The sequence below is a fragment of the Homo sapiens genome, chromosome 1 (assembly GCF_000001405.40).
Source record: "Homo sapiens chromosome 1, GRCh38.p14 Primary Assembly".
NCBI lineage: Eukaryota > Metazoa > Chordata > Mammalia > Primates > Hominidae > Homo > Homo sapiens.
In genome coordinates this window covers 94819085-94844553 of record NC_000001.11, presented here as the reverse complement: position 1 = coordinate 94844553, position 25469 = coordinate 94819085, and the positions used below count along the sequence as shown (strand labels likewise).

The 25469-nt window shown below is 43.8% G+C and overlaps 1 protein-coding gene and 1 long non-coding RNA gene across 33 annotated transcripts in view, besides 2 other annotated features; one reads left to right on the top strand and one right to left on the bottom strand.

Moving 5' to 3' along the window:
- SLC44A3 (solute carrier family 44 member 3) overlaps nucleotides 1-24197 on the bottom strand; it is a 74891-nt gene extending 50694 nt beyond the window's left edge. For 10 of the 26 annotated variants that reach the window (NR_146575.2, XR_946543.3, XM_005270442.3 and 7 more), the window contains exons 1-8: nucleotides 24076-24197; nucleotides 23498-23605; nucleotides 19919-20061; nucleotides 16911-17047; nucleotides 15968-16061; nucleotides 6683-6843; nucleotides 4517-4606; nucleotides 2430-2554 (exon numbers count right to left, since the gene is read on the bottom strand). Coding sequence is in view for 24 of the 26 variants with exons in the window: in XM_005270442.3 (XP_005270499.1) it covers nucleotides 2430-2554; nucleotides 4517-4606; nucleotides 6683-6843; nucleotides 15968-16061; nucleotides 16911-17047; nucleotides 19919-20061; nucleotides 23498-23605; nucleotides 24076-24102 (885 nt within the window). In the remaining 2 variants the exon portion in view is untranslated. Of the gene's footprint in view, nucleotides 1-2429; nucleotides 2555-4516; nucleotides 4607-6682; nucleotides 6844-15967; nucleotides 16062-16910; nucleotides 17048-18611; nucleotides 18722-19918; nucleotides 20062-23497; nucleotides 23606-23830; nucleotides 23954-24075 lie in introns of those variants that run through there. The other 16 variants (XM_005270440.3, XM_017000265.2, NM_001258341.2 and 13 more) reach the window with 8 other exon arrangements.
- Nucleotides 6867-8066: an enhancer, noted in NCBI's record as "BRD4-independent group 4 enhancer chr1:95302044-95303243 (GRCh37/hg19 assembly coordinates)". NCBI's record gives its function as "activates an origin of replication core promoter dependent on BRD2, P300/CBP, MED14 and CDK7 cofactors, and independent of BRD4, by STARR-seq in HCT116 cells {active_cell/tissue: HCT116}" and the evidence as "EXISTENCE:reporter gene assay evidence [ECO:0000049][PMID:35650434]".
- Nucleotides 24004-24193: a silencer, noted in NCBI's record as "silent region_1100". NCBI's record gives its function as "represses an Ori minimal core promoter by ATAC-STARR-seq in GM12878 lymphoblastoid cells {active_cell/tissue: GM12878}" and the evidence as "EXISTENCE:reporter gene assay evidence [ECO:0000049][PMID:35858748]".
- The window catches only part of SLC44A3-AS1 (SLC44A3 antisense RNA 1), a 203881-nt gene continuing 202733 nt past the window's right edge, over nucleotides 24322-25469 (top strand). For all 7 annotated transcript variants that reach the window (NR_160780.1, NR_160779.1, NR_104131.2 and 4 more), the window contains exon 1: nucleotides 24322-24598. This is a non-coding gene — a long non-coding RNA (SLC44A3 antisense RNA 1). The remainder of the gene's footprint in view (nucleotides 24599-25469) is intronic.

The following is a 25469-nucleotide window of genomic DNA, read 5'->3' as shown; positions in this document are numbered from 1 at the left end:
CACTCCTCTTTTCTCGAAACATTTTCCTCCCTTGGCTTCCATGATCTTTCTTTTAGCTCTCCTACTTCTTTAATTGCTGCTTCTTGAGATCTTCTGGGGGTATCTCCTATTCCTCTGTGCTTTCAGCATCCTTCCTAGATGCTGACAACCTCCAAATAAAAACCTCCAGCCTCACTTTCCTCTAGGTGCTGGAAGAATAAGCACATCAGTTATTGACAAGGCCGTGGATGTCCTACAGTATGTCAGACTCAATTTATCCTGAATCAAATTCATTATCTTCATACTAGAACCTCCTCTTCCCCCTGTATTCTTTACCTCCAGTGGCCCTAATTTTTCTAGACTTTCCAAGAGTAAGTTAGGTTCCCCTCTTGTGTGCTCCCATTTTATTCCACACTTACCCTATTGTACTATTTAACATATTCTATAAATGTTTTCTCGTCTGAATTTCCCATTAGATTAGGCTCCTAGAGAGCAGGGCCATTCTTATGGTCAAGGACTGGCAAAGTGCCCAGTACAGTCTCAATCACCTCTGGTTCAGTTTCCTCAATACCGCTCATGCCTTCCTTTCCTCTCTGTTTCCACCGCTGATGCCACAGCTCAAGTCTCAGCCTCTTTCTTCTAGACCCCAATAACCTCATTAGCTTTCTGCATTTAACCTCCCTGACCACCCCCCCCACCCCGCCCCACCTCAGTCCCTCCTCCACTCCACAGCTAAGGGGACCTTTGTAAAGCGCAAACACAAAGATGGTGTTTCTCGGCTCAAAATCCATCTACGGCACCCCAGTGCCTCTGGAGAAAGATCAAACCTATCATCATTGCAGATCAGGACCTTTGTGACATGACCCTCCCTGCACCTGCATCTCAGGCTTCCATCAAGGGAACTTCCTGCAAGTCACACCCCTGCCCATGTGACCTCATGCATGCTGTGCCCTTGGCCTGAGATGCTCTTTCTCTTCCAGCTTTGCTGGAGCGTTTCTGCCGTCAACAGTCAAGTGGAGGAAAGACAGTGACAGTGGATAAACTGCAGAAGCTGCTCCAGGATCTGGGAGCACAGCCTCCTGACCATGCAGGGAGAGGTGTCAGGAGAGGCCCCGCAAGACACCCAGAGGAGACCCTTCAGTTGTAAAGGCTGAGGAGGAACTTCCATCTGGGCTTTTCTGAGGATGAGTGAACTAGCTCATCTAGCAACCGGGAATTGGTAAGAACTCACAACAAATGAACGGGAGGTGAGCTGGGACTCAATTCTGCCTTATAGAGTAGCCCCTGTGCAGAACTCATGGACCCAGGTGAAAACAGCCTCCCTGCTCACATGGCCTCCCCTCTCCCTAACCTTGCCCCGGCCCTGAAATCTGGGTGGCATAAATGGTGCAGTGTACAAACAAAAAGGGAGCCCTGTGGAGGGTAGACGGAGGAACTGGACCCTCCCCAGCCCCCAGCCCTGCTCCTCTTCCCCTATGCCCAGCCTGGGGAATGGGGAAGCCCTTTCATCTCCAGCCTCCTCTGCAGACTCTGTTGAGTGTCTGGTCTGGTCCCTGCCTGAGGCGAGAGCAACCAGGTGCTTTACTTTATTGTACCCTTACTCCCTGGCACATTTTATGTGAAGATCACAAACCCAAAACCTCACCGTGGAAAGGAGAAAATGTGAAAACTACCAAATATGAGAATAGAAGGATTTCCTATGAGAGAATTTTGTTGGTGTGAGAATCTGCATTTGCTGCAAGATTCAATGGGCTTGTGGAAACCCCTGGCTGCAGCTGCTCCACAGAACAGTCAGTAAGCAACACACCAGCAACGACGACTCTGGGGGACCTGAAGCCAGTGTGGGGTCCGCCCCAGGGCCTTGTGATTTGAGCCTTCCTAACGGCCCCTGGAGAGGGTCCTGAATGACATTTGGTTGCCAACCACCCACCACCAGTAACTAATACCTGCTCCCTCAATATTCTAAGTCAGCCTGTTTTCAGCTAGAGAGTTCACTGAGGAGGCAGCAAGTTCTCTGAACACCAAAATAACCCAGTGGCCAGCGGGTTTGGAAACAAAGGGCTCTGTGTGCTAGAGGGCAGCGGAAGCTGAGCATACACTGGCAAAGGGGAGCCGCACCTCACAAACAGGGAATGGGAACTGCCGTAAGCCTGCCTCCGCCCACCCACCATGCCCACCTTGTAGCCCCTTGGGGCTGAGAACAGTGCAACAGCAAGGATAACACAGTAGTCTCTGGGAGGTGGCAGAAATGACTTGGGAAGAACTAAAACCTTTTTTTCTTATTTTTGAAGAGTTTTGAATTATCCCTATACAGGTATCTCAAATCCAAAGAAGGCACATTCTAAATCAAAAGAAAAACAAATTATAGTTGTTTTTGGCTAGAATTCAATGATTTGGATTTCAGAGTCCTGGCTGGCTACCTGACCTACTGCTAGAAGAGCATTTCTTACCGTGATGCCTGTGGATACGATAGCAAACCCCAGCACGCACTTCATATTTTCCCTTTCTGTGTCCAATTCTATGCTGAGGTCGTTGGTATAGTCATAATACAGCCACCATAAAACACCGCAGACAACTAGAAAAGAGAACAGTAGCAGAGCTCAGGGCACACGCCATGAGGTAACCTTTCCCCAGCACACAGAATCACACAGGAAGTCCAGCCACTGCCCACCGGCCGCGTGGCACTGCTCTGGCAGTGGGTCCCAAATACCCGGACCCTACAAGCAACTGCTGCCCTCTGGAGAAGCTGGGCAGAGCCAGGGCAACCCATAGAGGACCCACAAGTTCTGGGATGATGCTTGTTTTGGGAGACCCAGGATGGTGACCCCAGAACACAGGCACCTAACCCACAGGTTGGGTCTGGATGCGAGCAGGAGGAAAACCCCATGGACAGGATGGTGAGAGGGACAATGCCAGAGCTCACTGTCTAAATGTTTTAAGCAAGCTCTGGTGGTGATAACTCCTGTGGAGCCTGGATATTGGCTGCTCACCCACAAAACCAGGAAAATTTACACGGCCTGTGGGAATCATGGAAGTCAGAAGCTCATTTGGAAGATGCCCTGACATTGCAAGTACTCCACATTTAGGTACGAAATACCACCTTATGCCATATCCACAGTAACTATAGGAAGGTTGGAGTGGACAGGAAGAAACAACCCTCAGAAGTCATTGTGCCTGTCCTCCGACACAGGGCTACAGGGCTCTAAGTTGCTGAGGGCAGAGCTGATGACTCAGGGGAAAGAAACATGACAATCACATCAGTTTTTAAAAATTAAAATATAGTCATCCACTGCATGATGACATTTTGATCAACAATGGACTGCATATATGATGGTGGTTCATGAGATTAATAATACTGTACTTTTCTGTGCTTAGATGTGTTTAGATACACAAATACTGACCATTCTGTTACAGCTGCCAACCGTATTCTGTACAGTAGCATGCTGTGCAGGTTCGTAGCCTAGGAGTAATAGGTTATACCATGTGCCTGGGTGTGTAGTAGGCTCTACCATCTAGGTTTGTGTAAGTGCACCCTGTGATGTTCACACAATGAGGAAATTGCTGAGTGATGCATTTCTCAGAACACATCCCTTCCTGTCATTAAGTGACACCTGATTGTACCCCACACCAGTTGGTAAATGGCTGCTGCCTTGAGCCTCCTGCGTGCCCTTGTCCCTCGGACCTCTTTCCCAACAACTGCTGGTGAGATCCACAATCCAGCAACCGGGAGGGAAATATGGGCACAGTACAGGGTCTCCAGGACTCTGCTTCCATGCAGGCCTGTGTGTCTTCTGGCTGGTCAGAACCTTTACATGACAACTGTGGGCACCCACGTGCCAATGGGTGAGGTGCGCATTCAGAAGAAATCCTTTAAAATGCTCCCAGTGGGTACTGGGATTCTCTTTTAACGTTATGGATACAGGATCACGGTATTGGAAAGCTCATCTCAGGGGCAGCATAGCACAGCAGAAGAAACTACAGATATGGCTGGACGTGGTGACTCATACCTGTAATCCCAGCACTTTGGGAGGCCAAGGTGGGCGGATCGCTTGAGCTCAGGAGTTGGAGACCAGACTGGGCAACATGGCAAAACCCCGTCTCTACAAAAAATACAAAAATTAGCTGGGTGTAGTGGCATGTGCCTGTAATTCCAGCTACCTGGGGGGCTGAGACAGGGGGATCGCTTGAGCCCAGGAGGTTGAGGCTATAGTGAGCTGCGTTCGCGCCATTGCACTCCAGCCTGGGCAACAAAGTGAGAGCCTGCCTCAAAAAAAAAAAAAAAAAAAAAAAAGGAAAAAGAAAAAGAAAAGAAAAGAAAGAAGAAAAAAAAGATTGGTCATTAACTTTGCACTGTCTGTGAGACATAGCAACTCCCATCGTCCTCCCTGAGGCCAAGTTTTCTCATTTGTAAAGTGACAGGGCTAGATACTCTTTAAGACTCCATGTAGCTTAAAAATGCCAACTTTTAAGTTCTGTACTTAATGTAAAGGCTTTTCATTTAATCGAAAAGAAATCAGTCAAGTAGAGAAATACTTACACAACAATCCCAAAATAACCAATGAAATGAAAATGTGAACCAGAAGGGTGGTGATGAATCTGAAGGTAAACATCATGGCCAAAGACAAGGCTGAAAAATTAAGCAAAACACATAAACCTCAATAGCAACAAAGGATAGGGGAGATGATGGTAGTACTGCGATGACAAAACCCTCCAGAACAGTGACGGCTGAGGATTGTATTCAATCTCTAAATATCTTGGGATATCTACTAAACACTAAATAAAAATAACAAGGTATACGTGGGGCAGTCTCTGATGCACCATTCAATCAAGTGTGGTAAGCCTGTCTCTGAAAGTCCTAGTATTCTTCTCAAAAATAAAAAAAATTTGGCCGGGCATGGTGCCTCACACCTATAATCCCAGCACTTTGGGAGGCCGAGGCGGGTGGATCACCTGAGGTCAGGAGTTCGAGAACAGCCTGGCCAACCTGGCAAAACCCCATCTCTACTAAAAATACAAAAATTAGCCAGGCATGGTGGCGGGCACCTGTAATCCCAGCTACTCGGGAGGCTGAGGTACAAGAATCGCTTGAACCCGGGTGGCAGAGGTTGGCAGTGAGCCAAGATCATGGCACTGTACTCCAGCCTGGGCAACAGAGCAAGACTCTGTCTCAATAAAAAAAAAGAAAGAAAGAAAAAAAATTTTATAGCAATATTATTCTCAAATGCCCAAATCTTTTTTTCTTACAAGTCCAAATGAACCATCTAAAATTATCATACTTAAATCTTTTGACTTCATACTGGGCTTATGTAAAGTTCTAACTTTACATGTTCTAAGGTACTCTTATTAAATATGAAAGATTAATAATGTCTTTAAAATGAAGAATTTAAGATCCTAACCATGAAATAAGCTGTATGTACTATTTTCGACATAGGAAATCAGGATTGCATCTAGATCAGAGTTATGTTTAGTAAGGTGGGTTTTGGGACCACACAGATCTGGGTTTGAGTCTTAGTTCTGCCACCTCTTCTCCTAGGTGTGCAACACTGGCCAAGTCCTAAACCTCTCTAAGCCTCAGTTTCATCTCCTATGAGTGGTACTGGGATTCTGATGAGGTTTTAATGAGTGAAGAATAAGTACAATGCCTGGCACATGGTAAGTGCTCAGTAAACGACAGCTGTTAATACCATTATGAATCTAATAAGCACATGACAATGTCCTTGCAGGGACATTAGGTCATTATATAAGATATCAGGAATAACCTGAGGTTTTTTTGTTATATATTGTAACCAAGCCAGTATTTGGGAGTCAAAGCATCTTGTTTGAGTCAATTGAAGTCATTTTCAGCCTAAGTAAGAAGTCTGAAAGTCATAATAGTGACTAGTTAAATATCCCCAAGCATTCAGGAATTAGGAACCTTTTAGTAATGAAATTGTGGAAAACTCAATTTGTTAACTGTTAGAAATATGTTAATGTCTGACCAAAGAGTTTCTCTCTACCAAGAGGTTTGTGGGCTGCCACTGGAAAGCGAGGAGACAATAGGCTCTTACCACTGTCTAAAGGGGCAGAGTGTATTCACCTGTTCAAAGAGAAAGTTGGCTCTTGATTTCAGCCAACTGAAACATAGAAAATGGGAACTCAAAAGATCAAGAGTGGGTAGCTGCTTCCAGAAATGCCCAGAGAAGGCTGAAGGCCTTGACCTGTCTACAACCCAAAGCAGGTATGTCCCTTAGAGGAGCAGGATACAGCAGGCCCTTGCAGTCTGACTCCATTTAACATGGATGCATACATGTCCTTGCCCTGCTCACCAAGCAGCTTTCTGATCTGCTTTCTGATCCACCTACAGGTGGAGGCATGTTTGGCCAGAAGACATGGTTTCTGGTCACCCTGACAGTTGTATTTTTCATGTCCCATCCACAAATTGGCAATCTGCTTTATATACCCATCCCCAGTGAGGAGCAGACACTAGAACATAGTCAGTATATCAAGGCAACCCTACCCACTGAGGCTTTCTGCCAGAGGGCCAGCCGCTCCTCTATTCGTATTGCCCCCATCCCACTTAAATCTGAAACACTGAAAATATCTATTAAAAATACAGAGTTTTATATTTAAAACAAGAGGCTAATTTTCATTGTACAACATATAAAATGCTAGGAACTTTGGCATTCCATAAACAACTATTAAAATTAACTTAACTGAGAATTACCTAATGCGAGGATACACAGGCCAAGGATTGTATCTCTTCCCGACATGATTCCACTTAGAATTCGGTGGAGGGTGTCAACATCATTTATCAAAACAGATGCAAATAGGGAGTAGCACTCAGGTGTTTGAGGGACACATCGGTTAAATAAGGGAAATGACTTGCTAAAAATAGAGAAAAAAAGATGGCAAAAATGTTTATTTAACATTTATCTTTAAAAGATGTTTATTTAACATTCTCAATAACCAAAAAAGCTTAAGAACTACAGTAATAGAGAGGCGTCTAGCATGCCATTTGCAGAGCACACCTTAGAAAGCCAGGCAAGTATGCTCTGCTACATCGATTAGCTGATGTTCTGAATAGGAAGTTGATTATGGGAACCCACAGAAACCAAAAACCTAAACTTGGGGAGCAACATTTTTAAAAATAAAAATTGCACATATTTAAGGTATACAATGTGATATTTTGATATATATAAACTTCATGAAATGATTGCTACAGTTAAGCTAATGAATGTATCCATAAATTCCCATAGTTATCATATTTTGAGAAAACTGAAGATCTGTTGTATCAAATTTCAAATATACAATACAGTATTATGAACTATAGTCACCATGCTTTACTTTATATATCTAGAATTTATTCATCCTACGTAACAGAAACTTGTATCCTTTGACCAGCATCTCTCATTTCCCCTGCCTGCATCCCTGATAACCACAATTCTATTCTCTGTTTCCATGAATTTGACTTTTTTAGATTCCACATACAAGTGGGGTCATGTATGGGATTTGCCCTTACATGCCTGGTTTATTTCACTTAACATAATATCCTCTGGTTCATCCACGTTGTTGCAAATAGCAGGATCTCTTCTTTTTTTAAGGCTAAATACTACTCTGTGGTATGTGTACATATACTACATTTTATTTATGGGGAACCTCTTTTTTTTTTTTTTTTTTTTTTTGTTGAGACAGGTTCTGCCTTTGTCACCCACGCTGGAGTACAGTGGCTCGATCATGGGCCACTGCAACCTCTGCCTCCAGGGCTCAAGCTATTCTCCCACCTCAGCCTCCTGAGTAGCTGAGACTACAGGCATGTGCCACCACGCCCAGCTAATTTTTGCATTTTTTGTAGAGACAGAGTTTCACCATGTTGCCCAGGCTGGGCAACATGAGCTCAAGCGATCCACCTGCCTTGATGTCTCAAAGTATTGGGATTACAGGCATGAGCCACTGTGCCCAGTGGGAACCACAATTTTTATTCTCCTGTCTTAGCCCTTCTTAGACACAAACTACCAACCCCAACAAAAGAATTGTATTTCTGTAAGGAACTATTAGGGATGTGAACTGGATGAGACAGAAGCTGTGTTAATGACACTATTAGCTTAATTCCGTCCTGTTTAGGAAGGCATATGAGGCTTGAGAGCCTTGCTATGAACAGTGGGTGCTCAATAAATGGATAGTAAATGTGTGATTGATGCTGCAGTTGATAACTGCCTTGGGTAGATGAGAAAGTTGACCTTTTTTTAGCTTCTTCCTGAAATGTAAAAAAGCCTAGCAATATGCATTCTAATGAATCTTCATGAGGCCACTGATACCTTCACAGGGTCCTGTTCTTCTTTCTTTCCATGAACCCCAAATGGTGGAAATAATCCCAACCAAAGAAGTGTCAAATTATCTAAAAAGCTGCTCAAAACCCAATCACCAATCATTTTGTGCAATGTATAAGAATGAAACAAAGGAGAATCCAAATGTTAAAAGATTTCATTGCCCTGAAGAAAAGAAATGACTTCCCAAGCTTCTAATGAAGCACAACATAGAACACGTGGAAGAATCTTTCTCCAGAAGTCTCAATATTACAGAAACAGTTCCTGAGTCACTGGATAGTGGTTCAAGAGAAGAGTAACACAAACGGTGTTTTTTGTAATTACATTTTTGAAGGGGTAATACATTCACATGGCTTAAATTCCAAAAAGTACAAGAGACCAAACAGCAAGAAATTGCCTTTCCTTGTCCTTGAGCTACCGAAGTACATTTCCTCACAGGCACCCATGATTTTTGGTTTCTTGCAAACCATTCTAGAGACTTTTATTAGCATATGTAAATATCATAGGAAGTTTAAATGGAATTTGCGGCTGAGCTCAAAGATAATAAAAATTCTACTCCAAAATGAGACGCCAGACTCCACCATTCAGGGCATGCCAAAAAAGAGGTGGGAGAAAAGTGGTTAGATTATTCTTAAACCCACATCCATGCTGAGAGCATAAAAGAGTTGGAAGTTGATAAGCAGAGCATTTTTAAAAGTAAACTTTAAATTTCTGAATAATTTTAGAGTTACAAAAAAATTGTAACGATGGTGGAGGGTTCCTCTGTGTATCCTTCACTCACATTCCCCTAATGTAAATGTCTTACATAACCACAGTATATTTGTGAAAATTAAGATTTAACATTGTCACTAAACTACTAACTAAACTACAGCCTTTATTTGGATTTCACCGTAACATCCTTTTTCTATTCCAGGATCTAATTCAGGATAGCACATGGCATTTTATTGTCACGTCTCCTCTTTGGTCATGACAGTTTATGTTTTTTGTAGAGACAGAGTCTTGCTATGTTGCCCAAACTGGTCTTGAACTCCTGAGCTCAAGCCATCCTCCCACCTCTGCCTCTCAAAGTGTTGGGATTACAGGTGTGAGCCACTGTGCCTGGCCTGTGACAAGTTTCTTAGTTTTTCCATGTTTCTCGTGACCTTGACATTTCTGAAGATTCATAGTCAGGTATTTTGTAAAATGTCCCTTAATTTGTAGAATTTCTCTCATGTTTTCTCATGATTAGGCTACAGTCAACAGGTTTTTGGGACAGTGCCACAGAGGTGAAGTGCCTTTCTCATAGAATCCTATCGAGGAACATGACAACACTGGTGAAGTTGACCTTGATCACCTAGTTAAGGTGGTACCTGCCGGGTTTCTCCTTGTAAAGTTGTTATTTTTCTCTTTTCCCTCTCTATCCTTGGAAATGAGTCACTAAGCCTAGCCCACTCTCAAAGGGAGGGAAATTCCACCTCTTGGAGGAAGAAGTAAAGATTTATCCCTTTCACCGGGAGCAGTGGCTCATGCCTGTAATCCTAGCACTTTGGGAGGCCGAGGCGAGTGGATCACTTGAGGTCAGGAGTTTGAGACCAGCCTGGCCAACGTGGTGAAACCCCATCTCTATTAAAAATACAAAAACTAGCCAGGTGTCGTGGTGGGTGCCTGTAATCCCAGCTACTCGGGAGGCTGAGGCAGGAGAATTGCTTGAACCCGGGAGGCACAGGTTGCAGTGAGCTGAGATCGTGCCACTACACTCCAGCCTGGGCAACAGGGCAAGACTGTTTCAAAAAAAAAGAAAAAAAGGATTTATCCCTTCCCCCCATTTATTTATTTATTCAATTATTTATTCATATCAGTATGGCCTCATCAACATTTATTCTTTTCTTTGGGTTATAATCTTAATTGTGTTATTCAATCTATTCCAGCTTTGGCCACTACGAGTCATCTGTGTCCTTTTGACAAGACCCATTCTTTTTCTTTCTTGAGCACTTCCTTACTTTCTGATGCTACAGGATGATGATACCAGACGTAGCTGGTATTTTCCTTATCCAAGTCCTAGAACCTGCCATTTCTCCAAAGAACCCTTGAAGACCAATGATTAGAAACCATGATCTGGGTATTGGGTATGGTGGGGTATTACTGATTCTAGGCCCTATAATCGATTCTAGTATGTAATTTCAGAATTGCTAACCATTATACTGTATTGTTTAGGGAATTTTTAAAAAATGAGAAAAACAATTGTTAACCAGTAGCTATGTGACAAACAAATGTACTATCTGGAGTACAGTGTTTGTATACAGTTCCTTTTGTCTTTAGCTTACAGTATCTAGTCACAAAGCTGTTTTCCAAAGTTACTCACATCAGCTCCTTATTAGTCATTTAATTTGTCACCCTCTACACACTATCCTAAGATCCTGACATCTTGATTTTAATTTTTATTTGCATATAGTAAAATCTACTCTGCACAGGTGATGACAAGTGCAGAGAATCATTAGAAGAGTAATTTTTGAAGAGTTGAAATTTTTTTTTTTTACTAGACTTGTCATGTGACTCCATCCCCATTTTCCTAAGTCAGATGAGAAGGGTTTCATGGAAAACTCAGAGAGCTTAGGGAATCCCCTGGCTTAAGGTCTGAGCCACCCCAAGAAATCTGGAGGGTGAGCGGCTTTAACAGCAGAGCAGAGAGCTACAGCTGGGGAGTTAAGAGCCCCCAGGGCATTTGTCAGGGCAAAGGGTGCAGAGGGCTTCCTGGGGTCTAGTTGTGGGCTGCATGTGCACAAGTCCCAGTGATGGGGTGCCACCGATCGTGTCTAAGACAGCCCTGTAGAAGGCTGTGGGGACCTTGGCAGAAGGAGCTGGAGGTGGCTGCTCTCTGAGGTAGCTAATTAATGCCTCAGGACTGAGGAAAGCCTCTCACATGACCAGCCAGAGCACAGATGCATTAGACTACATGAAAGGCACTGCAGCTGAAAGAGCCCCGAAGAACCCAAAACATGCCCATGAGGGAAAGAGCTGGCCGGGACATCTCCCAAGCCCAGAGAATGCTGGTGCTAGTATCAGACAAGTAAATGTGTTCCTGCTACTATTTTCTTCCTTCACTTTTGCTGCACCAGCCCCTTAGACAAAACCTGTTTCAGCAAGCTGGGAGAGGAGGGCAGGAATAAACAGAGGAGAAGGGAGGCTGACTACAGCCTCCTTCCTGGACTATGGCCTTCCCACTTGCTCCTGGGCCAAGCGTGCAGGGGGCAGAAGTTTGAACCTCCGATCAAGTGAGAAGTTTATCACATTGGGCTGAATATTTTTTAATTTAAAAAAAAAAAGTTGAGACAGGGTCTTGCTCTGTCACCAAGGCTGGAGTGCAGTGGCATGATCACAGCTCACTACAACCTCAAACCCCTGGGCTCAAGAGATCCTCCCATCTCAGCTTCAGCTAGGACTAAAGGCATGTTCCACTATGCCAATCTAATTTTTAAATTTTTGTAGAGACATGGTCTCGTTATGTTGTCCAGGCTGGTCTTGAACTCCTGGCCTCAAGCAATCCTACAGCCCTGGCCTCCCAAAATGTTGGGATTGCAGGCATGAGCCACTGTGCCTGGTCTGGGCTGAACATTTTAATTATTGAATTGAAAGTGTCTGTTGCAACTTAAAGTGACTCAGTATGTATTACCTAAAAGTTACCAGAGAAGCCTTGGGAATTGCCTGTGTTTTTATTCAGGGGCAGAAAAAACTAGTCCCACTGAATAAATTTAAAGAGACAGAGAAAGACAAAAATTAAATTGCTTTCTGACTACATCCTGTAAGTCATGCTTGATGTAATAATGGTTATACAAGCAAATATATACCTAGATATATATATTTATAGGTTTATACTTACATTTTCCACTTTTTATGCAAAAGTATACTGCACACTGTTCTATTATTTGTTTTTTTTTTAACTTAATACACTTCAGAATGTAAGGAATTCCTCTTATTTTTACTGAGGCAATATTTATATACAATGAAATACACTGATCTTAAACATAAAATTAGAGACTTTGATAAACATACACATCTATGTAACTGCTACGCCTTTCGAGATTTAGAGTATTTCATTAGCTGGGGTAGGGATGCATCTTTTTTTTTAGATGGAGTCTTGCTCTTGTCACCCAGGCTGGAGTGCAATGGCGTGGTCTTGGCTCACTGCAACCTCCACCTCCCAGGTTCAAGTTATTCTCCTGCCTCAGCCTCCCCAAGTAGCTGGGATTACAGGCGCCTGCCATCACACCCAGCTAATTTTTGTATTTTTAGTAGAGACGGGCTTTCACCATTGTTGGCCAAGCTGGTCCTGACCTCAGGTGATCTGCCCGCCTCGCCCTTCCAAAGTGCTGGGATTACAGATGTGAGCCACTATGCCCGGCTCACAGGGATGCATCTTTAGGCCATGGCCTGAGGTTTCTTCACCACTTCTGCTTTTCTTCTTCCCATTAGCAAAGCCACTCAAACTTGCAGGAAGTCATTGGGTAAGCTGCCTGTATATTTAGATCACCAGGTATATGGAATTCAGCTGAGCAAACCATGCAGTGACATGCACAGGCACCTATGTGGGAGAGTAGAACTAGAATTTACTGGGGGGAAAATATCCACGCCTTTTAGATTTTGAATACATGAGGGACTCAAAATACATTACCATGTTGAACACCAAAGTGAAAAAAGATCTATTTGCTTGTTATCTTCTGTAGTGCTTTTTCACTGCTCTTAAAAGCTCATACCTAGGTCCACAAATTCCTTGATATTTAGCCATTACTCGAAAAGGGTACGTTATACCTCACATGACCGACAGACGAGGAAGAAACAATCAGTTTAGTCAAAAAGAGGTATTTAGAAAATGTTCTTTGGCCCTATAGCCACCCTTCTCATGTTTTCCAGCTTTTCAGTCTTGGCACTGCTATTCCATGATAAATATGATCATTTTCACCTTAAACAAACACTTGCTTGTGCAGGAAAAGGGAATGGAGCCCTTGAGGCTATTTCTCTCTCTCTTTCTGTCCAAAAAAGGCCACTCAGTCAAGGGTTTTGTCTTTACTTGAAAAGTTAGTATTGGAAACATTTGCATTTAGGGTGAAAAGGACTAGGGCTGGCTTGAGAGTGAGAAGAAATGGTGCTATTATGACACAGGATACGGAGACTCTTTCTCCCAGCTTGATGTGAGTCTAGGAAGGCCACTCACCAGTCAAAATAAAATCAAGTCTTGACTCAAACATAGACGCTGCTTGGGTTTGAATGCCAGCTTTTCCATTTGCTGGATGTATGAACTTAAACCTCTCTGCATCAGTTTTCTCAGTTGTAAGATAGGGATGAAAACAATACCTACAATATAGACGTTTTCTGAGGCCCAAATTATGTTAAGGGTTTAGAAAAGTATCAAAAGCTCAATAAATGTTTGCCATTATCATCATAAGTATCAAGATATAAGCTTCCTGTGGAATTATGGTTGCCATCCCATTTATAGTAAGAAGAGAGTTTATCCAACTCTGGTTAAATTACAACCTTAAAAATTCCATTCTCTTTCAATTCCATCCGTAGTTACATCTACAGTTACAAATTGTGTTCTTAAAAAAGTCCTCCTCTCCAAGTGCTAGAGAATTTTCCTTCCACCTATTACTAAAACATTCTAGTTTTTTTTTAAATTGGGTTCAGTATGTTTCATTAAGATGTGTTTATGATACCTTACATTTTACCAGAATGTAAAATATCATAAACACATTTACAATTACCAGAATTTTAAAAATAAGATATTATAGGCCAGGCGTGGTGGATCATGCCTGTAATCCCAGCACTTTGGGAGGCCGAGGCAGGCGGATCACGAGGTCACGAGATCAAGACCATCCTGGCCAACATGGAGAAACCCCATCTCTACTAAAAATAAAAACATTAGCTGGGTATGGTGGCATGCGCCTGTGGTCCCAGCTACTTGGGAGGCTGAGGCAGGAGAATTGCTTGAACCTGGGAGATGGAGGTTGCAGTGAGCTGAGATCGCACCACTGCACTCCAGCCTGGGTGACAAGAGCAAGACTCTGTCTCAAAAAAAAGAATATTATAGAAAAATGAAATGGGTATTCTCCTCAGCAAATAGTTCTCTCCTCCTTCAATTACTTACAACATGGAGTATTTATTTTAGAAAAGAATATCACAAAATGGCTATTTTCTGCCTCCGATGTGATTTAAACCTTCTCAAGTCTCTTTGTGTTTGTGAGCACCTGCTAGTTCAGCATTTTTCAAGCTTCACTTGCAACCAGTTATAAGACTATGAAATACATTATTTTTAAAAAGGCAACAGAGTAGTAACTAAGAGTGTGAATCATATGTAATAAGGGTAAATGTTGTTTTGTGAGATTTCTAGTTTTGTTTTATATATGTAAGGACATATGAAGGTATGTGCATACAGGAGTTGGGATGTAATAAATTTCTTACTGTAAGTCCCAAACAAGAGTTCAATAAACACCACCCTAGAGGATTGGAATAATGCTTTGTTTTAATTAAATAATCATTATTTCTCAGGGATTTTTCAGAGAGGTCTCCTACATTGTAAACATACTCACATTTTTCAAAAGAATGACAATTCAAAATCAATACAAGTTTTCCTTTAGTACATCTCAGCATCATAATGGTGGCAATAAACACTCATTGTATTTTTCCCCTTAGCCTTCTCAAAGGTGTAAACATGAGCCATTCGCCATGGCAATGCAACCACCGTTCCATCATTACAACTTTATTCTACAAATATTTGTAAGGTGCCTACCATGTGCCAGGTAGTACACTAATTTACAGGGGTGAATAAGACCTTGCAAGGAGCCCACCAAGTGTACTCTTGATAAGGACCTGTGCTTTCTGTTTTCATTAAGAAAGGTGTGGTGATCACTTGGCCTTGTCCATCTGGTCTGTTTCTTATGAAGATATCTAGAGCAATAAAAACTAACAGAGTCTAATTATGATAAAAAGCCAAAAGTAAACGATTTTCTTTTTTTTTTTGAGACAGATTCCCGCTCTGTCACCAGGCTGGAGTGCAGTGTCGCGATCTCGGCTCACTGCAACCTCCACCTTCTGGGTTCAAGTGATTCTTCTGCCTCGGCCTCCCAAGTAGCTGGGACTACAGGCATGCACCACCACACCCGGCTAATTTTTGTATTTTTAGTATATTTTTAGTATACAAAAAAATAGTATATATTTTTGTATATTTAGAGATGGGGATTCACCACGTTGGCCAGGATGGTCTCCATCTCCTGACCTCGTGATCCGCCTGGCTCAGTCTCCCAAAATGCTGGGATTGCAGGTGTGAGCCACCATGCCCGGCCAAAGTAAATGATTTCTACTTTGCAATAAATAATTGGAGTAGAAAAAAATACACACTAATTTATAAAATCACCCCGTTAGTAATAATTCATAAGTTACTTCTTGCTAGCTCTAGTGTTCTTTGAAGACTACGTGTATTTTTATTGCTTGCTGAGTTTTCTCCTTATTTAGCCTGATTTCTAATCCACTGTCCATAGGCATACTGCAAATAGTCCCTCCATGTTTTTATCGCTGGCCTCCGTAGACTGTAAGCTCCCTGCAGGCAGGGGCTCTTCTGATATCTCCTTCCCACAATGCCTAGAAGAGTAACAGATGCACACCAAGTACCCAGTAACTTTTGTTTAGAGTTAAGGAAAAAGTATGGAAGCTTTTACCTTGGAGGAACTGGTAGCCTGGGACACAGTGAGTCTGCTTTTGGACTGTGGGTATAGTTGAAGGAATTCAAACTATAAACACACAGGAAGGACCCTGGAAGCAGAACACACAGACATTATACCTTCTTTCCAGGTGAGTCAGTAAGGAAACCACAGCCATGTTACCAAACCAGAAAGGAGAAAGAATCAACTACAAGGTCTATGGGTGACAGAAACACAAAAGTAATAGGCATACAATCTGAGGTCTAGTGAGGGCCTCTCTTCCTTACTTTCTCTTCAAAACCCCAAATTCAAAACTAAAAGTTATATGATTGGTCCTAAAATAATCTGAAGCATATTTGAAAACAATTTCTTGTAGAAGCTTGATAGTTTAAACCTGGCTTTGCAAATAATTTTTAAAAATCTGGCAAACCATTTCTCAGACAGATAAAATTCTAAACAGTGGACCCAGTACAAGGTATTTTAGTTATACAAGTGCTTCTGGTACAACTTGTGACATCCCACTGCTCAGTGGAAGTATCTATTGGCCCCAAAAATCTCATGAAAAGACCAATTTGTCAGCAATTCTACGCGCAGCCTGCACGTACATCTCTAGGACCGGATGTGCCCACGTGCATGGAGCTCTCTGCCTTCCTTCTGACACCGCCTTTGGGTCTTAAATGTGGGCTGTCTCCTCTCTCTCTCTGTGGATGACCATTCCCTGCAGTGGCAGGGAGCATACACGGAATAGCTAGGGCTTCAGATAAATCCAGATAGAAAAAAAATAACCTGAACAAGCTCAAGAGAAAATGCTTACGGCCTTTTCCACACAAAAAGAGGCACCCACAAGGAAGTAAAACTTCCAGCTTTCCAGAGAAAGCAGAGTCAGGGTAAATGATCTCATCTAGGTCCCCACAGCTTACCCCATCATGGGGAAAAGAACAAACCAGGCCTTAGTGCCTACCACTGGTGTTTGCAAAGAACTGGACCTCTTCCAGGGAGTCAAGCTGCTCTTCAGGGCAGTTGGATACACAGAGGGCCATGCGGTTGAGCTGCGTACCTTTGACTTCCAGGTTGCAGGAATTCATAAAGAACACGTGTCTAGGAAATAGATGAAACAGAAGAATGTGTTAGAGCATTGCTTCTCACTGGTCTTAATTGTGGGCCTTAAAAAATATCCACATGCTATCAAATGCAGGGATCACCCAGGCACACTTTCATAATTGTTTCAGCATAATTGAACATTTATGATGCCTACTGGTGGTCATCCATGAAGCTGTGCAGCTTGGAAACTATCCAAAAACATTAACAAAGCTTTATTTCTCCAGATTTAGTGTTGTCTAGGGGATAGCACTAGGGAGTTACCTGAGAAAATCTGAGGAAAAGAAGCAATTGGTTAAACTGTCCATTGATTGCTAGATCAGGCCAATGCACAAACTATTCAATGGACTCCACGGAGAACACATTTGTACCCAAGAGTGTTCAAATATGCTTCAGAGAATAACTGAACACAGGGAAGTGAGAAGTGGAAAGGAGGGGGCCAAGGCTGGGAACCAAAGGCTTGTCTTTTCCCCCTTCTCCCAGGTTGAGAGCCAGGACACTCAGGAGAACCCTCCTGCAGCTCCCCAGGGGCAGGGCAGAGGGGGGACAAGAATGAAACTGGTGTTGCCATCAGCAGGTTATGCGCTAGCAGCTACAGCTTCCAAACCCTTGCCTACCACTTATCCAGGCTCCAAGACCCCAGGAATGGCAGAGGAAGACCCCGTAGGCTGCCCTTTATGGGAGAGACCTTGAGAAGGGGTCCCAGAAGGTTTTTTTCCCTCCTGTTGGGGATGGGAGAAAGGTGGTGCAACAGGAGATGAGGAACAGATTTCCTGGGTGTGTGATATACATATTTTTGAAGAAGTTTAAAAATTGTGTTAAAATATACATAAAATTTACCATCTGAATCTTTCTTTTTTTTTTTTTTTGAGACAGAGTCTCGCTCTGTCACCCAGGCTGGAGTGCAATGACACTGCCACCTCTGCCTCCCAGGTTCAAGTGATTCTCCTGCATCAGCCTCCTGAGTAGCTGGGACTACTGGTGCCTGCCACCACACCTGGCTAATTTTTGTATTTCTAGTAGAGACAGGGTTTCACCATGTTGGCCAGGCTGGTCTTGAACTCCTGACCCTGTGGATCTGCCCGCCTTGGCCTTCCAAACTGTTGGGATTACAGGCATGAGCCACTGCACCAGCCCCATCTGAATCTTTCTAAGTGTACAGTGACATTAGTACATTCACGTTGTTGGGCTATCATCACCACCATCCATTCACAGAACTCATCTTCCCAAACTGAAATCTGTACCCATTAAACAATAGGTTCCCACCCTCCTTTCCTCCAGCCCTTTGCAATCGCCATTTTACTTTCTGTTTCTAGGAATCTGACTACTTTACATATCTCATGTAAGTGGAATCATACAATGTTTGTATTTTTGTGACTGGTTTATTTCACTTGGCATGACATCCTCAGGGTTCATCCCTGTTGTAGTATGTGTCAGAATTTCCTTCCTTTTTAATATTTCATTGTAATATACATATCACATTTTGATTATCCATTCAACCATTGATGGACACTTGAGTTGCTTCTACCTTTTGGCTTTTGAGAATAATGGAATGTATACTCACTTCAACCAGGAATGACTGTTTGTTGACACTGCATTATGAACACAATGTGAAATGGGAGCACATGGGCATCTAAGTCGCCCTTCCTCCTCCTGTCTTCTTTGTAAGTGGCTCTATGAGTGCAGGAGAAAATGCTCCGTAATTAGTCCATGCCCAGAAAGAGCAAGAGCCCCCTTAGGAGCAACACTCAGGAGGATAAGAGGCTTAGTCTGAGATTTGTATTTGGTGACTCCAAACTTATATTCAGGATTTATTTAGATCCTTAGGATTTCTCTTCTAGGAGCTACTTTTATTATTGAGTCCTAAAAATCCGTTTTTGGCTGGGTGTGGTGGCTCACGGCTGTAATCCCAGCACTTTGGGAGGCTGAGGTGACAGATCACAAGGTCAGGAGATGGAGGCCATCCTGGCTAACACAGTGAAACCCCGTCTCTACTAAAAATACAAAAATTAGCCAGGCCTGGTGGCGGGCGCCTGCAGTCCCAGCTACTTGGGAAGCTGAGGCAAGAGAATCTCTTGAACCCGGGAGGCAGAGCTTGCAGTGAGCTGAGATCTCCCCACTGCACTCCAGCCTGTGTGACAGAATGAGAGTCTGTCTCAAAAAAATAAAAAATAAAAATAAAACATCATTTTTTTGTTCTGTCATGTGAAGCAAGAGCTAAAATCTTAAAAATTCTTACAAGGCAGTCTCCATCTTAGAAGTTCATGGTCAGGGATTTCTCTCCCCTCTAGGGAATTCCCATCTCTTCTCTCCCCTTTCTGTTTCCCTGTGGGAGGTGGGGTAAGGGAGTAGGGGGAAGAATGCAACACCACAGTGCCATAGCTGGGGCAGGGGTGGGACACAGGTCCCCAGTGTTCCAGGTGGCATTCGGGTATTTCCACGTAGAAACAATGTGTGGATGATGTAGGGTTCAAACATATACGATTGGTAACATGATTCTGATTCATTATGGAGAATAATAGCAGCAATTAACGTTTATTATACTTTAGCTCATGCAGTGTCTCATGAATCCTTAAAACAACCTTGTGAGGTAGGTATAATAACTAGTTTAGAGAGATGAAAACTAGGCTTTGAGAGGTTAAGTACTCTGCCCAAGATCACACAGCTGAAAAGTAGCATGGGCTGAATTTGAACTTAGGACTATGATTCTAAAACTTGTACTCTTACCTGTACTATATACACAGCCTTCCTTTTTATAAAATAGGCTGACAGAGTTTTGAATGGGAAAAGTTTCCAGGCTCCAAATGATGAATTTATACAAAGTTTTGAGGTACAGTTCCTTACAGACTGGGGACTTATTTAGATACTTACTTTTTTAGGGTCATGTCCTGCCCTGAAAGAGGGGCCCCTTCCACGGGGGAGTTCTTCTTGCCACACATGTTGCCAAAGCTGTCATAGCCAAAGAGGAGTCTTCCCGCGGCTCCAGCCACCACCGAGTAGCCCATGATAAACACCTGGCAAAAACGGGGGCATATGAGAGCCTGGCCAAAGGGCTGAGCGCACAGTGCCCCACACCCCTGCAGATGCTGATATAAAACGGAGCCTGGTGGAACGTGAAGCTCTCCAGCATCATAGCGCTTTGCTCCGTCAGTAACAGTGTCAGCAACTCCCATCTATCAGCATCCTGCTCCTCTGCTACTTATACATTTAGGTAGAGAGAGAATCTAATCCACTGAAACAGATTTCTCTCCATTTTCTTACCTCTGTGCTTTTTAACCTTTTCCTTAAGAGTCTATCATTTTTCTTTTTGGTCTAACTTTACTGGGACAATTCAATTTTTCTTCCCTTGATGTTCTTGCTTAATTTAACTGCTTCAGGGCTATGCTAATTCTTTCCCCAAGGTTTTTTTTTTTTCTACTACTTTTTTTGTTTTTCTTTTCTTACTTTTAAGGGATTCTGCAGAAGCAACACAGTTGATATGTACTGAAACACTGTTCACCAATCTGCAAATAGTGTTTTGGAGTAACTGCTTAAGACATACAAAATAAAGGACCACAGGAATTCTGTTGGACAAGAACATCTTGCAATCTATCATCATTTTTATCCACTCTCATAGTGAATGTGGAATATTTGAAATTTCAGTTCAAACAACTGTGCCATTAATACATACTGACAGGCTCTCTGCCAAGATTGAATATGTATCTTCCCATAATGCAAACTTAGTAAGTTTCCCAGTACTGTATGCAATATATAGGATACCATTTAATACTCTATATTGACAAGTTCATTCCAGGAGAACAGATATAATACACTATTCATTAATATATAGTATTGATACCTTATGCTGCAAAGGTACATTGTCCTAAATTCAAATACCTTCTAGACATTCTGCATTTATTACTAATTTAGAAATCAAAATAACAAACATTCTTCAAGTGCCCAGTGTGTTCTTGAGACTTTCTTACTGGGAGACACAGGAATGACCAGAACCTACTCCTTGCCTCCAGGAACCCAGCCTAGAAGGCAAGCAGGACTTACGGGCTGCAGACCTCCTGGGGAAGGAGGCTCCCTGTCCTTTCCCACTCTCCAAGATCCTCCTAAGTCTAACTGGTCAGATTCTAGAATGAATGGGTCACCTTTGCTAGTAGTGTGTGTCACTCACCCTTTACCTAAAGGCTGTGGAGTAGGTGTGACTCTGTTTGCCAATGTGGCTGGCATGGCAAGCTGACTGTGCCTTGACATGCTTGTCTCGTCCTTTCGAGTTGGAGTGTAGTAAGGTCTGGACTGTGTTTGGATTTAGAGGGAGGAAAGGGGTCATGTGCTTCTGCCCAGCTCACCAGTAATCTAATAACAAAGTGATGTTTTCCATTTACCATCATTCTTTCCTTTGGAAAGCCTGTGGTGAAGAATGGAAAGTTTTTCTGGGTGGGAGAGGTGGGAGTGGTTTCTGAGGATTCCTGAGTCCCTCCTAATAAAACTATGACTTTATGATTATTATTTTTTATGTTTTGTAGACACAGGGTCTTGCTTTATTGCCCAGGCTGGTCTTGAACTCCTGGCTTCAAGGGATCTTCCTGCCTCGGCCTTCCAAGAAACTACTACTATAAACCTTCATTGTCCTAATTTCAAACATGCAATTGCGATTCTATATGACAGGTGATATAGGAGGTGTGTACATTGGTCTAGTACATTGGCCACCAAGGTAGTCACTGTCAACCGTGCCTGCAAAATCAGGAAAATGGAATCTTGAGGGATGATAGGAAAAGGCAGGGCAGGAGAGGATACTGGAGGGGTAAGTAGAGGCAGAGATAGTCCAGACTTTGAGACTTTGTTCCTTATGTTTAATGCAAATATAAACACAGGCTGGTGCTGCATTTGCAAGAACCATCTCTGCTTATAATTTCAGCTCCTTCCCCCAAGCCTTTGTCCAGCCCTAACTCAGGGCACACCATCACCAGTCAGGACATCTGTCACAAGACCTGAAAGCTGAACAACAGAGGCAGAAAAAAAAGTCCAAAAACAAAACACTCCTTGCTCTGTTTTAAATACCTGCAAATAAAAAATGTTGCAAAAGACACTAAAAGCCAGTGAGCTAAGAAAGGACTCTGACTCTTAAAACAGAATGCCATAGTGAGAACTTGGATATATTAAAACTTCAGACTTATTTTGCAAATGAAATGTAATTTTAAAGCAGTTTCCAGCTCCGTGCCACCTCTCAGCTGGTTCACAATTCTTCAGGCTGTGATAGGTCATCTACAAAGATTTTCCCCAGGATTCTCAGCTGTTGGGCTGAGAGTTTGGTAGTGAGGTCCTAGGTTGAAGCTGTGGAGGGGCTACGGCAGATCATTAAATCACAATAACAGCTTGAGGTCAAAGCTGCCAGGCACAAGGCAGGCCAGCTGCTCCCTGCATTTATACAACAGCAGTCTCAGATAAAAACACCAACCATCTGCGAAGTTAAGCAGAAGGTATTGTAGGTGCACTGTCTCTCCCAGCTCCTAGGGGAGAGTTCCAACGTAAGCAACAAAAAACATCTGATTATGTGTTTCAGACCTAACCTTCCACTGTGCCTGTAACCAAGCCTGTCTATGTGAAACGGGTCATAAGTGAACAAATGCCTTTCTTACTTGGAAAGAACAAACATGATATTTTAGGGCCTATTCAGATGGAATTCTTTTCAACAAAGGTAATTACTATCTGGTAGTTATTACCCTGCTCTATAAATTAATCATTTACCATGCAGCAAATAGCATGCCTTATCCTGGCATGGATGATTTCGTGAAAGTGGCCTTTGAAAATGTCGGGTGAGACGTTTTCTGCTGTTACCTACAATTCTAAAATAAGTATAAAAGCAGCAAGATTCGGCTTCCAACAGACTCTCTCAGGATTATAACCGCATAGCCTGATGGAGTTTACCAGCAATCATACATACCTCGAAATTAGAGTGGGAAAAATCATTCCTTGTTAGCTATGGTTAACAGTGTTGGCTGCTAAACACAACATATCTCTCGCGCGCGTGTGTGTGTGATGTTCAGCTAAAGGAAATGCAGTTTATTTCTAGGCTTACCCTGGCTTTTCCTTTGTTAAAGGTGCACCAAAAGCTTGAGGAATATTTGATTTGGGGGTGTGGCAGGTGCTAAAAGAACTTCTGTTCAGTAAGTTCGGAGAGTAAAAGGAGACACATTGGCCTTACTAAATAGCAATCACATTGCAAACTGTTAATTCCCATTTCCTAATGGAGTCACCCCTTAGAACATGGCCTGTAGCAAAAAGACAGCCTTTCTAGCGAGTCTAGGACAAGAATTCTCCCGAGTACAAACTGATGTTTATTGTGGGTTAACGGCAGAAGTCTCTCACTGCAGCACCAACTACGATTTACATTTGGGACAGAGTTATTTCCAGACGTGCACACACACTCTGGCCTCTTTCCTACCAAGCACCCACACTTACCAAACCAGTCCAAAAGAGAAAGAACAGGAATAACCATGCCGTATCTGTGCATTTCCTATAAATCTGGGGTCGCCACTCCCTTTGCCTAGGGGCTCCTTCTGCAGAAACCTTCCAGAAAAAGGGAGAGTTGAGAAAAAGAAGATAAACAGGTGGACTCAACCTGGAAACCGAACCCAAATCTACTCGAAGAGGGGCCAAAGTAACCAATCTTTTTCTAAATTTTTAAAATTAATATTATTTTTTTACGTGGCCACCTGAAGCTCTTTCACACAGCCTTTGAAACACCTGCTCTGCGCGGAGCGGATGTTAAGCCCCCTGCCGCCAAGTGCTTACCTGGAGGTGCACCTGAGGACGACCCCAAGTTTGCGCCCCGCGGCCCGCGTCTCCCCCGCCTCCGCCCCAGCACTGGAGCAGGGTCCAGGTTCCTCCCCGCCAGGTGGCCCCAAGGTACTAAGCGGGGGCGGGATCCCCGAGGCGCGGGAAAGGCGGAAGCGTCCGGCAGGGAAGGTGCGTGAAGGCGGGGGACTCGACCCTTCCCCGGGGCTCCTCCCCCGAGGGCCGAGGCTGCGAGCGCTTACCAGGTACTCGGCGCCCAGGCAGTGCATCGTGCGCTCGCCGGCGGGGGCCGGTGACTGGGAGCCGCCGCCGCCTCCTGTACGCGGAGACGCAGCGCCCGCGAGCCGGGGCCGGGGCCGGGGCTGGGGCTGGGGCTGGGGCTGGAGCCGGGGCCGGGCCGGGGAGGGGCGGGCACGGTGCAGCGCCGCCTCCCGTTCGCCTCTGCGCCTGGCCCGGCGACTGCGGGCGCTGCGGTCCACTGGGTCCGCCTCTTCCCGGCATGGGTTTCTGCCCAGCTCACCCGCTGTCAGCTGGGGTCCTGCTCTGGTGGGAGGAAGAGGCTCAGACGCTTCCCTGCCCTCTCGCCTCAACCACCTCGAGGCAGCGGCTCCCAGGATGTGCACTTTGACGACTAAAGCTGAGCCGGCGCCGCCACGACCTTGGGCGGGTGGTCGGCCTCTGCCCTGAGCAGGAAGTAGAAAGTCTCAGCAGACCCTTCCTGAGGGCCGAGCAACAGTGTAGTGGCGTATTCCACATAGCAAACAGGTAAGCAGCATTTACTGTGTGCTGGATTCTGTTCTCACTGCTATTGTTATTCCTAATCTACGGAGGAGGGAAACTGAGGCACGGCCATTGGTGATGCAACTTGTTCGAGGAGACCCAGTAAGTTGTGGAGGCAGGAGTCGAACCCAGACACTCCGGGAGACCGGCGCTCTCGAGGTGGTTTACTCTGACTTCTCTCCCACCTTGCCTTAGGACAATCATTGCCTGACTTCGCAATTGAAATGGTAGTGTCCACTGAAGCGACTGGTGGCATAGTTTTCCAGGTAGTGTCAGACCAGCGCAAAAGCACTGTTGGGGTGAGGAATTTAAAAAACGAAAAACAAAAAAAACTGCAGGCCGACCTCCCCCCACCTCCTCTCAATCAAGCCTCTACCCTTCCCCCTGCCACCCTTAGGGTTGCTAGGTTAATTGCTTCCTTTAGGTGCTGCTTCTCCCTAAGGGTAGAAACCTGACTGGAGGAAAGATCTGGGTAAGTGGGAGAAACTGGGAATGATAGACAGTGGTTCTCTGGTGCCAGCGATTTCCTTCTGGGCTCACACCACCCTCCCACTGCAAACTCACTGGGCCTTCCTGGATGCATGTTTATCAGACAGAGTAGGTGAAACCCCAGGGGAACATGAATTCATAGGACAAAGAATTAGACACTGGAGGAGTGCAACTACTGTTAAAAGACCACAACTGAATAACATATGCCATCTGAAACTGATCAGTAGAGCAGATGGACCAAGATTTTTAAATAAGCATGATAAATTTATTTAAAATGAGTTATGATATTAGCAATATGAATCAGGAAAAAATATGAAACTAAAACATATTAAGCATAAAAATAATAATTAGAATGAATATTGATGCT